The sequence below is a fragment of the Homo sapiens genome, chromosome 7 (genome assembly GCF_000001405.40).
Source record: "Homo sapiens chromosome 7, GRCh38.p14 Primary Assembly".
NCBI classification, from domain to species: Eukaryota; Metazoa; Chordata; class Mammalia; order Primates; family Hominidae; genus Homo; species Homo sapiens.
Window position 1 is genome coordinate 55161918 of NC_000007.14, and position 14273 is coordinate 55176190.

General features: G+C 45.5%; 1 protein-coding gene across 10 annotated transcripts in view; it reads left to right on the top strand.

Annotated features, from left to right (window-relative positions):
* Positions 1 to 14273, top strand: part of EGFR (epidermal growth factor receptor) — a 192612-nt gene that overhangs the window by 142901 nt on the left and 35438 nt on the right. For 8 of the 10 annotated variants that reach the window (NM_005228.5, NM_001346899.2, NM_001346941.2 and 5 more), the window contains 6 exons: positions 1816 to 1906; positions 3363 to 3520; positions 9258 to 9296; positions 11066 to 11207; positions 12004 to 12126; positions 12805 to 12903. In NM_005228.5, coding sequence (NP_005219.2) covers positions 1816 to 1906; positions 3363 to 3520; positions 9258 to 9296; positions 11066 to 11207; positions 12004 to 12126; positions 12805 to 12903 — 652 coding nt within the window. Of the gene's footprint in view, positions 1 to 1815; positions 1907 to 3362; positions 3521 to 6605; positions 6719 to 8389; positions 9121 to 9257; positions 9297 to 11065; positions 11208 to 12003; positions 12127 to 12804; positions 12904 to 14273 lie in introns of those variants that run through there. The other 2 variants (NM_201284.2, NM_201282.2) reach the window with 2 other exon arrangements.

Sequence of the window (14273 nt, forward strand, 5' to 3'; positions counted from 1 at the left end):
AGTTCCTAAGACAAATGAGACAGTCATCAATGGTTCATCTAGCCAACACCGTGGCCATTTGGGCTTTTCTTTGTAGTGCCCGATTCCTGGTGTGTGAAAATAAATTAACACAAATTATATTGCCAAGTTAATATCTGTTTTATGTGCCCCCAGCATGTGTTGAACATCAAACAGTACCAGGGACTTTAAATATACCCACGGACAAAGAAATAATTCATAATGATGTTTGTTGAATTTAGTTGCAATCAATAAAAAGTGCAGTTTGTGAATGCTCTGAGGTTCTTGATATTGATGTAAGGCTTTGAACGACAAATGAGGACAAAACATAAATAGGAAAGTAAAACTGAAGGATAGAGGCCAAGGCCATGTTTTAGAAGATTTAAAGAAAAAGGGAAATTTGGTGAGCACCATAGGAATTACAGATGGCTGTAGGAATTCTTCCTGTTTTACTCTCTGGGCATGGACCACAGCTTGGATCCAGAAATATTTAGGAGCAGGATAAGAGGACCAAGTTCAATTCTATAGGAATCCTTTAGCTGATAGGCTCAGAACAAATCACATAATTGATAGTGCTGCTTCAACTTCAAGTAAGGAATATTGATGCAATCCTTACAGCTACAAATGGACAGTGGTCTCATGTTTTCAGTTTTCAAGTGTTTCTTAAGAGGCAAGGTGATGAAAACGCCCACGTGGGGAGCCCCATGTCCTTCCATTAGTGTAGAGAAACCTGGTGTCCAGCAGCACCTGCTCCCTCTGCAAGCCCAGCCCCCTTCAGCAAGGGCAGTGACCCAGAGAAGAAGCACAGAAGACACAACCCTGTATCACATTTTGTTTAATGGTGCCATTGACCAAAGGGGAGGATGAAAGGCACACACTTTTTTGTTGTTTTTTGAGACAGAGTCTCACGCCATCACCCAGGCTGGAGTGCAGTGATGTGATCTCAACTCACTGCAACCTCTGCCCCCTGAGTTCAGGTGATTCTCCTGCCTCAGCCTCCCAACTAGCTGGAATTACAGGTGTGCACCACCATGTCCAGCTAATTTTTTGTAGTTTTAGTAGAGACGGGGTTTCACCACGTTGGCCAGGCTGGTCTCAAACTCCTGACCTCAAGTGATCTGCCCGCCTCGGCCTCCCAAAGTGTTGGGATTATAGGCATAAGCCACTGCACCTAGCCAAGGCACACACTTTGGAGAATAAACACTCCTTGTTCGCTGCTGGAGGGTAGAACTATGCTTGACTACTAGGCAGAGTCCAGTCTTACTGACAAACAGCCGTACATCTGTTCTGTCTTTTCAATCAAACATCAGCTTCTTGCTTAACATTGATGTGTACATCTTGAGGGATGTCAAAATATTGTAAGCTAAGTTTTTCATACCTGTGTTCCACACTCACCATTTTTAGTAATAACCATTGAGCGAGTTCATTCTCCCTCCTTCCTTTTTCTATCACTTAATCTAAAATTATCATTTTTCCAGCTTAATTTTGATAACCATGAATCTGGTATTAGAGGCAGGGAACACCTCCTCAGGACTATCTTTTCTTTTATCATTTGGCTTGCTTACCCAATATGCAAAAACTATGCTGTAGAAAAAGCAGAAAAGATATCTTGATTATGAATGAAGCTCCTGTGTTTACTCAGAGAGAAGATGACCCAGGATTCAGTTAACAAAATCAGCTGATTATATTACTATATAGTCCTGGAGTCCCAACTCCTTGACCATTACCTCAAGTTATTTGGAATTTTGAAGAGGTGATTTGTGTTCCTGCAATAATGTCTCAGGGGTGGGCTGACGGGTTTCCTCTTCCTCCTCTCAGTGAGCCAAGGGAGTTTGTGGAGAACTCTGAGTGCATACAGTGCCACCCAGAGTGCCTGCCTCAGGCCATGAACATCACCTGCACAGGACGGGTAAGAGCCCCTTGCTGCTATCCACGTCCATTTCATGGGAAGGGCCTTCACAGAAGCCGAACAGTGATGATGGCCCAGGGCATCCTGTGTGGGCAGGACGGCCATCAGAGCCACTTCCCAGAGGAGACGGCAGGCGCTGACAGCGCTGTCCGGGCAGGGTGTCGGTGACATTAGCACACACATTAGCCTGCGATGAACATTCACTCTTTCTGCTGACACCCCCAACCTTATCTAAGCTTATCAAATCCTCACATTTAACGGAGGCTGTTTTCACCTGGTTTCCCCCATCCCTGACCTAGTCAGCATTGCTTTATCGCTTTCATCAAACATCCTCAAATTCTTAACATTAGCTTGTAATTAATTGAAGAATTTTTAAAGAAATTGCTAGCAAAACTTTTTAAACTGCACAACTTTGTATCTATATGTTCAATAACATATAGATACAATATTCTTTACAATAATCTTTTAAAGAATATGAGTGAGAATTCGGGCCCCTCTCACACCAAATGTCCTGATGTTGTTAATTCTCAATGTTATTATATAGGGAGCTCTGTTTTCTTGTGAGCTTCAACAGCCAGTTCTAAATCTACTAACTGAAAACATTTTTTAGACATTCTCTAAATTGGGCAGAAGATGACAGGACTGTGTTTTGAGGGATAGGCTGCCAGCGTGGCTGCTTACAAAGTAAAGACTTGGTTTATAGGTTTGCATGGTGTTGGGTTAAATTTCTGTCATTAAAATAATTGGCGATATTGACATAGTCATCTAATTATGCTGGCTCTGGGCACACACAGCCCTTGAGTGGACAAAACCAACATGAGAGAACTTAGCCAAGGGGAAAGCCTTTCCCTGCTGGTTTTATTTCTGCTACTTCTGAAGTGTGGGGCACACAACCTGAGCAGTGCTTTTATTTGAGTCCCAATGCTTTTATTTGAGTTTTGCAAGGTTATTCCAAGTTTTACAAATAGAAGGTAGCGTATGACTCAGTCCTTGATATGCCAACCACTGCACAGAGACTTGCCACCTTCCTGTCACTGGAGAAACACTCATGTGGGTTTTCTTAAATTTGCCTCCCTCTGAGCTTCCCTTTAACTTCAACTATAATATGCAAGAAAGACTATCTGACCATAAATACACATTTGGGCCAATCAAGATGGTTTTGCCAAGGAAAGATGCCCACAATGGTTAAGCAGAATGCAATAATGTAGAGAATATCATTTCTTTCATGCTGGTGTATATCATATGCATTCAAAAACAGGGAGAACTTCTAAGCAACTAACAGTGACCATATCAAGCAGGTGCAATCACAGAATAACTGGTTTTCTCCTTTAAGAATTTTTCTATCATTTGGCTTTCCCCACTCACACACACTAAATATTTTAAGTAAAAAGTTACTTCCATTTTGAAAGAGAAAAGAAAGAGACATGCATGAACATTTTTCTCCACCTTGGTGCAGGGACCAGACAACTGTATCCAGTGTGCCCACTACATTGACGGCCCCCACTGCGTCAAGACCTGCCCGGCAGGAGTCATGGGAGAAAACAACACCCTGGTCTGGAAGTACGCAGACGCCGGCCATGTGTGCCACCTGTGCCATCCAAACTGCACCTACGGGTGAGTGGAAAGTGAAGGAGAACAGAACATTTCCTCTCTTGCAAATTCAGAGATCAAAAATGTCTCCCAAGTTTTCCGGCAACAAATTGCCGAGGTTTGTATTTGAGTCAGTTACTTAAGGTGTTTTGGTCCCCACAGCCATGCCAGTAGCAACTTGCTTGTGAGCAGGCCTCAGTGCAGTGGGAATGACTCTGCCATGCACCGTGTCCCCGGCCGGGCCTGTGTTGTGCAATGCTGCACATCACAACAGGAGGGTAGGGGGACAAAAGAGCACAGGTCCTGGCAGCTGCCACAGTCTCCAGGGGCTTTTGCGTTTCTCTCCAGATTTCTAAGGTTAACATGGGGATTAGCTGTTTTGCAATGAATAAAAGGTAACATTGCCTGGAATGTTGCTTAAAGACACTTTTTTAAAGCTAGTTGATTGTTAAGCTGTTGCTACTTAAATTAAAACTACTTTGGGCCAGACGCAGTGGCTCACGCCTGTAATTCCAGCACTTTGGGATTCCAAGGCAGGCAGATCACTTGAGGTCAGGAGCTTGAGACCAGGCTGGCCAACATGGTGAAACCCCACCTCTACTAAAAATACACCTGTAGTCCCAGCTACTCAGGAGGCTGAGGCAGGAGAATTGCTTGAACCCGGGAGGCAGAGGTTGCAGTGAGCCAAGATCTCGCCACTGCACTCCAGCCTGAGCACCAAGAGCGAAACTCTGTCGCAAAAAACAAAAACAAAAAAAAAAGCTACTTTGACTGGAATTAGCAGAAGCACTCTGATTGTGTGTATCTTATTTACTGGAATAATAAAGCTGTCAATCAAACTGGATCCCACTCAACAATCAGAAAGAGAAGTTGAGCTGTCATATAGTAGTTCACACTTACTTCTGTTTCTCAAAATCCTCAGCTTTGTTTGGAACTGTTACTCATTCTTTCTCTGAATCCATCTGTATGAGTTGTGTGCCCTTGGGCAAGGGTCTTACCTTCTCTGTGCCTCACTTTCTTTTCTGTAAATTGGGATAATAATGCTGCATAGCTCACAGGATTTTTATGACCATGAGTTAAGATATGTCATATACTTAAAATGGTGCCTGGAAAATGGTGAATACTGAGTCAATGATAGCATCATTGATGGTGGGATGGTGATGAGGAGGTGGGAGTCACAATGGTGGTGTTGATGGTGGTGATGGTGGTGAGGAGGTGGGAGTCACAGTGGTGGTGGTGTTGATGGTGGTGAGGAGGTGGGAGTCACAATGGTGGTGGTGATGGTGTTGATGGTGGTGAGGAGGTGGGAGTCACAATGGTGGTAGTGATGATGGTGTTGATGGTGGTGAGGAGGTGAGAGTCACAATGTTGGTGGTGTTGGTGGTGGTGGTGGTGAGGAGGTGGGAGTCACAATGGTGGCAGTGTTGGTGGTGAGGAGGTGGGAGTCACAATGGTGGTAGTGATGATGGTGTTGATGGTGGTGAGGAGGTGAGAGTCACAATGTTGGTGGTGTTGATGGTGGTGATGGTGATGAGGAGGTGGGAGTCACAATGGTGGTGATGAGGGTGGTGATGATGATGAGGAGGTGGGAGTCACAATGGTGTCAGTGTTGATGGTCCGATGGTGATGAGGAGGTGGGAGTCACAATGTTGGTGGTGTTGATGGTGGTGATGATGATGAGGAGGTGGGAGTCACAATGGTGTCAGTGTTGATGGTGGCGATGGTGATGAGGAGGTGGGAGTCACAATGGTGGTGGTGATGACGGTGTTGACAGTGGTGACGAGGCGGGAGTCACAATGGTGTCGGTGGTGATGGTGGTGAGGAGGTGGGAGTCACAATGGTGGTGGTGGTGATGGTGGTGATGGTGGTGAGGAGGTGGGAGTCACAATGGTGGTGGTGTTGATGGTGGTGATGGTGGTGAGGAGGTGGGAGTCACAATGGTGGTGGTGTTGATGGTGGTGATGGTGGTGAGGAGGTGGGAGTCACAGTGGTGGTGGTGATGAGGGTGGTGATGGTGATGAGGAGGTGGGAGTCACAACGTTGGTGGTGATGATGGTGTTACTGGTGGTGACGAGGTGGGAGTCACAATGGTGGTGGTGGTGATGGTGGTGAGGAGGTGGGAGTCACAGTGGTGGTGGTGTTGATGGTGGTGATGGTGGTGAGGAGGTGGGAGTCACAGTGGTGGTGGTGTTGATGGTGGTGATGGTGGTGAGGAGGTGAGAGTCACAATGGTAGTGGCGATGATGGTGTTGGTGGTGAGGAGGTGGAAGTCACGGTGGTGGCGATGATGGTGGTGAGGACGTGGGAGTAACAACAGTGGCAGTGACGGTGATTGAGACATGATGATGATTTGTCAACTTTCTAGGAAAACAATCATATAATCTCCAACAGTGATATCTTAATATCTTTTCCAAAAGTATCAGATCATATTATAAGGGCCAAGTTTCCAGAATAATATCAGACATAATGACAGTGGACATCAGAGCTTGGCATCTAAAGGTAATGGGAATAGCTCTAATGTCTCAGCGTGAAAAACAACATTTGCTATTAGTCTGAGATACTAATTATCTAGTTAAGGAAGTACTCACCTATACCTAGTTTTTAACTGTTTTTTAAAATCTGGAATTGATTTTGAATTTTAACAAATATTTCCCTGGGAACAATGTAAGATTCTTCATATTTTCGCCTTTGGGTATACCAACATGCCAGCTCTGTTGGCCACTTTGTGAGCTCGATGAAGCATGGTATAAAAGATGCTTTGCTAGTGTTTCACGTAATCTATTTCTATAAGCAATTTTGGAGCTAAGCCTCTGAAACAGAATTATATTATCTGTATAGAATAAATGTTTTATCTTCCCCCTTTTCTTTCTTCTGGAATAGATGTGCATCAGTATCTCTGCATCAATATCTCTATATCAGTATCTCTGTGTCAGTGAGCATATGTTGCTGGGCTTAGGGGAGGTCCAGAAAGTGATTGGGTTTTGGCATTTTCAATACACTTACTTTGTATAAGAAATAGTTTGCCAAATATAGAAAGAGGGGATTTAGTCAAGATTTAAATTAAAAATGTTAGTGGTCATTTTTCTAATGTCTTTCTATTTTTTCCCAGGTCCTAATAAATCTTCACTGTCTGACTTTAGTCTCCCACTAAAACTGCATTTCCTTTCTACAATTTCAATTTCTCCCTTTGCTTCAAATAAAGTCCTGACACTATTCATTTGACATATGGAATTTTATAAATATTTTCTTTAGTATGTGTGATTACATTCCTGATTCTGAGCCTTTTTAGATGAGTATATAGTTTGATATAATCTTGTTATTGCCACCTGTGTCTTCTCCCAAAGCCATTAATTATATAGGAATTACACGATAGAAATGGGTTTAATTTTTAAAATACGGCCAAGTGTTGATGAGAGGGAAAATTTTTTTAATTTCTTTCACTGAGTATTTATGACGTGCACAACATTCCTGAATATATTGTCTCTCTCATTTCTCAGATGGGATGTATTGCCTTCTCCATTTCTATTGTTAAAGAAACACTTACAGGGGTTTCTTTAACAACTTGTGAACAGCAGCATCAGAGCCCAGACTACAGCATAAGCAGCTGCTGATTCCAAAAGCCCTACCTTCCAACCGGGCAGGTGCAGCCACCCAGACGAGGGGGAGGAACCCTGGAGGAATAGCTATTTCTTTTTTTTTTTTGTCGAGACGGAGTCTTGTTCTGTCACCCTGGCTGGAGTGCAGTGCCGTGATCTTGGCTCACTGCAACCTCCACCTCCCAGGTTCAAGCAATTCTCCTGCTTCAGCCTCCCGAGTAGCTGGGATTACAGACACCTGCCACCACGCCTGGCTAATTTTTGTATTTTTAGTACAGACAGGGTTTCACCATGTTGGCCAGGCTTGTCTTGATCTCCTGACAAGTGATCCACACACCTTGGCCTCCCAAAGTGCTGAGATTACAGGCGTGAGCCACTGCGCCCAGCAGGAATATCTATTTTTAAATGGAACTGTGTTTTCATAGTACACGGTGAGGAGAAAGTTGCTTTGAAATCTTTATCCTAATAAACCAAATAATATGAAAATTTGCCTATTTTAATTATATGTAACAAAGTTTAGTTACTGCTATAATTGCAAATATGTATAAATTCCTTACCAAAAAAAAAAGAATCAAGTGGGAGCCAGAGAATAATTTTTCTGACAGAATTAAATAACATGCTATAGCTGCTTGAGTTCATACTCAATAGTCATTTCTGCAGAGTTACCGAGGGCCTCATCAGCGTCAGCAGGAGCCCCTCGCCTTCTGACGCTCTCACATCCTTCTCTCCTGCAGCCCCGTCCTGCCACTGTCCTTGTCCAGCTTCTCTTCAAGGGTCAACTGGTCTACCTTTCCCTACAAGTCTGTCACAGCTTCTTGTTAGCAATCCCTATGGTTGCCCAAAAGCATTTTCAGAGCCTGCATAAGACTGCATCTTGTAGAAAATTTGCAGTTTCAATCTGCCCTCCCTCTGCCGGGTGTTCCCATTGTATTGCATTCAGCAGGCAGGGAGAGACTGCTATTAGGTCTGTTCCTGAGTGACTGCTTTCTGTCTCAGACTGTTTGGTGTCTGTAGGAGGTAGTGGGGTGGGCAGTAACGAGGTCTCCTGTATATTCCACCCCTACGAAGCCTGTGTGTTTGGTTTATGAACTAAGCTCAAAAGCACCACAGGGGTAAGACTGCAGTACATGACACCATGGAAAAGAGGGAGCACCCAGACCCCCAAATTAAGAAGAGCAGTGTAGAGAACAGAGACCTGGAGAGCAGAGATAGAAACTGTTAGGATCAGATTATAGTGTTACACCAGGGCTCCCCAGGCCTCTCACATATTGAAATGTACTTGTCCATCTTTCTCCAGGCCAGGAAATGAGAGTCTCAAAGCCATGTTATTCTGCCTTTTTAAACTATCATCCTGTAATCAAAGTAATGATGGCAGCGTGTCCCACCAGAGCGGGAGCCCAGCTGCTCAGGAGTCATGCTTAGGATGGATCCCTTCTCTTCTGCCGTCAGAGTTTCAGCTGGGTTGGGGTGGATGCAGCCACCTCCATGCCTGGCCTTCTGCATCTGTGATCATCACGGCCTCCTCCTGCCACTGAGCCTCATGCCTTCACGTGTCTGTTCCCCCCGCTTTTCCTTTCTGCCACCCCTGCACGTGGGCCGCCAGGTTCCCAAGAGTATCCTACCCATTTCCTTCCTTCCACTCCCTTTGCCAGTGCCTCTCACCCCAACTAGTAGCTAACCATCACCCCCAGGACTGACCTCTTCCTCCTCGCTGCCAGATGATTGTTCAAAGCACAGAATTTGTCAGAAACCTGCAGGGACTCCATGCTGCCAGCCTTCTCCGTAATTAGCATGGCCCCAGTCCATGCTTCTAGCCTTGGTTCCTTCTGCCCCTCTGTTTGAAATTCTAGAGCCAGCTGTGGGACAATTATCTGTGTCAAAAGCCAGATGTGAAAACATCTCAATAACAAACTGGCTGCTTTGTTCAATGCTAGAACAACGCCTGTCACAGAGTAGAAACTCAAAAATATTTGCTGAGTGAATGAACAAATGAATAAATGCATAATAAATAATTAACCACCAATCCAACATCCAGACACATAGTGATTTTAATTATTTAAGAGTAGTTTAGCATATATTGCTTTATGATTTAATTAAAAATCTCCAAAATATATGCCAAAGAAGTAGAATGAGAAAAATGTATATTTCTCTTTCACTTCCTACAGATGCACTGGGCCAGGTCTTGAAGGCTGTCCAACGAATGGGTAAGTGTTCACAGCTCTGTGTCACATGGACCTCGTCAAGAATGACCACACTGCTGTGGGTGAAGATGCTTTCCTGCATTTCTGACTGTCCTCTGTCCTGATCAAGTTTCTATGGCTCTGGGCCAGCCTACCCTCAGCCAGGGTTTCTGCAGAGACTGCCCAGCTGGTTCCACGTGGCTCCACGTGCCAACTTTGTCCTCAGTGGAGGGAAAGTTGGACACACAGTGCTGGGGCTGCTCCCTGCTCCGCCGTTGCTCGATGCATGGCCTGCCTCTGAATTCCTTGGTTCCACTGGTTTTGCTGGGTCCTTCTGTGCCTCTAGCTCCTCTTTTTTTCTGTCCACTTACCCCATTGGTCCCATCACAAGCCTGTGTGTGAGTGGCCTTTCTGTTCGATGACAACCTCCAGCATAGGGGAGTGTTTCTCCTTGCTTTCTTTCCCAGACACACTGCCCAGCAAAGGCAAAAGGGCTTCCTTCAACATCAGCTCTGGCCAGTTTGCCAGAGCAAAGCCCTGAGAAAAGCAAGGTTGAAAAGTCTTATTCAAACTCACCAGGAAAGAGTGGTGTTACTCTCGATGGCGTCTAGCCAGGAATCATGGAATTATACACCGAGCACCTGTTTGCCATTTTGGATGTTTCCAAACATGAACCAAACTTCCAGGCCCCTCTGCCATCTCTGGTAACATTTACAAAGTCCCTTCCTCACCACTGCCCTTCCTTCATTTTGGCATGCTCCTCCGCCCCCGAGTTGACAGCCATAGCTCTCTCTCCTGCCACCAGTGTCACATGATCGAGGAAGAAGGCAACTTCAAAAAGACTGGGTCCCCTTCCACTCCCATCTCTTCAGTGAGCTGCTAGGACACCCAGCAGAACTTCCCCACTCCACACTGCAATCTCAGGGATCTTAGTCACGGGGCTTTCCACCATGTCTCCACCTGGAAACCAGTCATGGCCATTCCTTCTTACATCTGCTCTTTTCCATCTTTTTCTTCTCCTCCTGTTCACCCGCCCTTACTCTTGTGGCGCCCTATGGATATGCGCTCCATAGCAAATGATTCTTTATATCTTACGGTATTCTAGTGAGCTGGCACATGTGGCTTCTGGTTTCCTCTCTCTGGAACTAGACATGACCTCTGTGGGAGGGAGGATTAAATGCACCCTACAGTCTGAGGCTGCATGATGACATCACTCATCACAATGATGCTTTCTATGTCTGAATCCTATTCCTTTATAACCCCTTTCAAGCTCGTTCAGAGAGTATTTCACACAATCCATGTGCTCATCTTAAAAGCCAAGGACCCAGAGGAGTCTCAGCATTGCCAAAAAGTCCCTTCACCCAGCCTGGCCAGAGGCAGTGCCTGGTCCATGTGTATGGACTATGGCACTTCAATTGCATGGAAATACTCTTGGAATGAACAAAATACCAATCCATGAAAAAGCATTATTGAAGTCTAAGTTATTTTTTGAATCATATTTTGTTAATCAACAAATTGAAAAATACTCATTATATGGAGAGGTCCAGATAAAGCCTCAATTTTAAAAAATGAGGAAAAGTGTGCCTGGTAGGGGACTGGGGAGAGCTTGAGAAAGTTGGAAACGTTGCCTTAGAAGCCTGTTTTTTCTCCTTTTAGAAGCTACATAGTGTCTCACTTTCCAAGATCATTCTACAAGATGTCAGTGCACTGAAACATGCAGGGGCGTGTTGAGTGCCAAGGCCATGGAATCTGTCAGCAACCTCACCCTTCCTTGTTCCTCCACCTCATTCCAGGCCTAAGATCCCGTCCATCGCCACTGGGATGGTGGGGGCCCTCCTCTTGCTGCTGGTGGTGGCCCTGGGGATCGGCCTCTTCATGCGAAGGCGCCACATCGTTCGGAAGCGCACGCTGCGGAGGCTGCTGCAGGAGAGGGAGGTGAGTGCCAGTCCTGGGTGGGCTCAGGAGCCCTCGCACCCCGACAGGAACAAGGGCCAGCCCCGAGAACGGGCCATTAGCAGTTGTGTATGTTAGATACATAATTGTATTATGATGCAGAAAGAATCTCTGAATGTGCAGTTATACCCAGTTGGTGACATGTTGGTACATCCATCCGAGGAAATGGCAATGTTTCTAGGCTGCACCCTTCAATGTCCACAAAGCTGTGTGGCATCTGCTTAGGACCCGGTGCCTGTGTGTGCATAGGAGGGAGGCCAGGAAGCCTGGCTGTTGATCCCATGCTGGCACTGTGGCGAAGGCGAGAGATTCCTGCTTTGGAAAACACCATTGTCCACACAGTGGCTTTGTCCATGATGGACTTCGCCACAGCCCAGTCCTGTGCTGGAAGCCATGTTCTCTGGAAAGAGCAACCCAGCGGCTCATAAGCATAAGCGCGTGTGATGTGCCCCAACCAAACGACCGCCATGCACAACTTCCCTACCGGAGTTTTCAATCCAGTTAATAGGCGTGGAAACAGACATAGAAATTGTGTTTGTTGAAAGGTAGCTGTTCAGTTAAAGAACACCTGTATCAGAGCCTGTGTTTCTACCAACTTCTGTCAAGCTCTGTAGAGAAGGCGTACATTTGTCCTTCCAAATGAGCTGGCAAGTGCCGTGTCCTGGCACCCAAGCCCATGCCGTGGCTGCTGGTCCCCCTGCTGGGCCATGTCTGGCACTGCTTTCCAGCATGGTGAGGGCTGAGGTGACCCTTGTCTCTGTGTTCTTGTCCCCCCCAGCTTGTGGAGCCTCTTACACCCAGTGGAGAAGCTCCCAACCAAGCTCTCTTGAGGATCTTGAAGGAAACTGAATTCAAAAAGATCAAAGTGCTGGGCTCCGGTGCGTTCGGCACGGTGTATAAGGTAAGGTCCCTGGCACAGGCCTCTGGGCTGGGCCGCAGGGCCTCTCATGGTCTGGTGGGGAGCCCAGAGTCCTTGCAAGCTGTATATTTCCATCATCTACTTTACTCTTTGTTTCACTGAGTGTTTGGGAAACTCCAGTGTTTTTCCCAAGTTATTGAGAGGAAATCTTTTATAACCACAGTAATCAGTGGTCCTGTGAGACCAATTCACAGACCAAAGGCATTTTTATGAAAGGGGCCATTGACCTTGCCATGGGGTGCAGCACAGGGCGGGAGGAGGGCCGCCTCTCACCGCACGGCATCAGAATGCAGCCCAGCTGAAATGGGCTCATCTTCGTTTGCTTCTTCTAGATCCTCTTTGCATGAAATCTGATTTCAGTTAGGCCTAGACGCAGCATCATTAAATTCTGGATGAAATGATCCACACGGACTTTATAACAGGCTTTACAAGCTTGAGATTCTTTTATCTAAATAATCAGTGTGATTCGTGGAGCCCAACAGCTGCAGGGCTGCGGGGGCGTCACAGCCCCCAGCAATATCAGCCTTAGGTGCGGCTCCACAGCCCCAGTGTCCCTCACCTTCGGGGTGCATCGCTGGTAACATCCACCCAGATCACTGGGCAGCATGTGGCACCATCTCACAATTGCCAGTTAACGTCTTCCTTCTCTCTCTGTCATAGGGACTCTGGATCCCAGAAGGTGAGAAAGTTAAAATTCCCGTCGCTATCAAGGAATTAAGAGAAGCAACATCTCCGAAAGCCAACAAGGAAATCCTCGATGTGAGTTTCTGCTTTGCTGTGTGGGGGTCCATGGCTCTGAACCTCAGGCCCACCTTTTCTCATGTCTGGCAGCTGCTCTGCTCTAGACCCTGCTCATCTCCACATCCTAAATGTTCACTTTCTATGTCTTTCCCTTTCTAGCTCTAGTGGGTATAACTCCCTCCCCTTAGAGACAGCACTGGCCTCTCCCATGCTGGTATCCACCCCAAAAGGCTGGAAACAGGCAATTACTGGCATCTACCCAGCACTAGTTTCTTGACACGCATGATGAGTGAGTGCTCTTGGTGAGCCTGGAGCATGGGTATTGTTTTTGGTATTTTTTGGATGAAGAAATGGAGGCATAAAGAAATTGGCTGACCCTTATATGGCTGGGATAGGGTTTAAGCCCCTTGTTATTTCTGACTCTGAAACTTGCATTCAATTCACTCCACCAAGTTATCTCATCTTTGAAATGGCTTTTTTTAAAGGTGCCTAGAATATGATGGCGTGCAGTCTATAAACTGTTGCCCACCTTCTGTACTTTCTCTCAGAATAATTCACATTCTTCTCCAGTGTCTGTTGATTGTTACTTTGTGGAATAAGTTCTTGGAAAATTCCACAAGATTATTGTTATCTTCTTACTACCAATTCTATTGAACTTTCTCCACCTTCTCTGGGCCTTCCCCAGCCAGTGGTGGGAAGATGCTGGCTGGAGTCTGACAGAGCCTCTTCTACACTGGCCTGGGCTTGCTGTGAGTTGGTGGAAACCTTTGCTCTTGTCCCAACACAGAGCAAGTGAAAGAGGAGGTCAAGGGGCTCAGGCAGCGGACTAGGGAAGCAGAATCGAGGAAAAGGAAAAATGGCTGACTTATTACCTCAAAACTCTAGAGAATTTAGTTGATCTTACAGCCAAGAAGGACAAAAGCCAGAGAGTAATATCCTCCGCCTCATGTCTAACCCACAGAATACATAGCAAGTAAAGAGAACATGGGCCTTTATAAAAATGTCTTAAGATACAATTTTTTAATTGGAGGAAATCTACAGTTTAATTTTCTCTGGGCAGCTTTTCTTCCTTTTATTATAGTAGGGGAAATCCCATGTTGATATACTTCTAAATGAAAGATGATGAATTGATATAATACAATAAAAAATCTGTAAAATTGATGATATACTTATCAAGAAAAATTAGCTTTCATTTTAACGGTTTACAAATTGAGTCAAGTCCTAGTAACAAAATGTTAAGTCTATTAACATAACCACAAGAAATACAGGAAGACGGGCAATCTGTGAAGCCTTTCACTTACAATCTCTGGCCCCTCACCTGTGCTGTGTAGGAAAATCTTTGTGCACAATTTGCTTCCTTAATTCATTTTTTATTCATTCAACACATT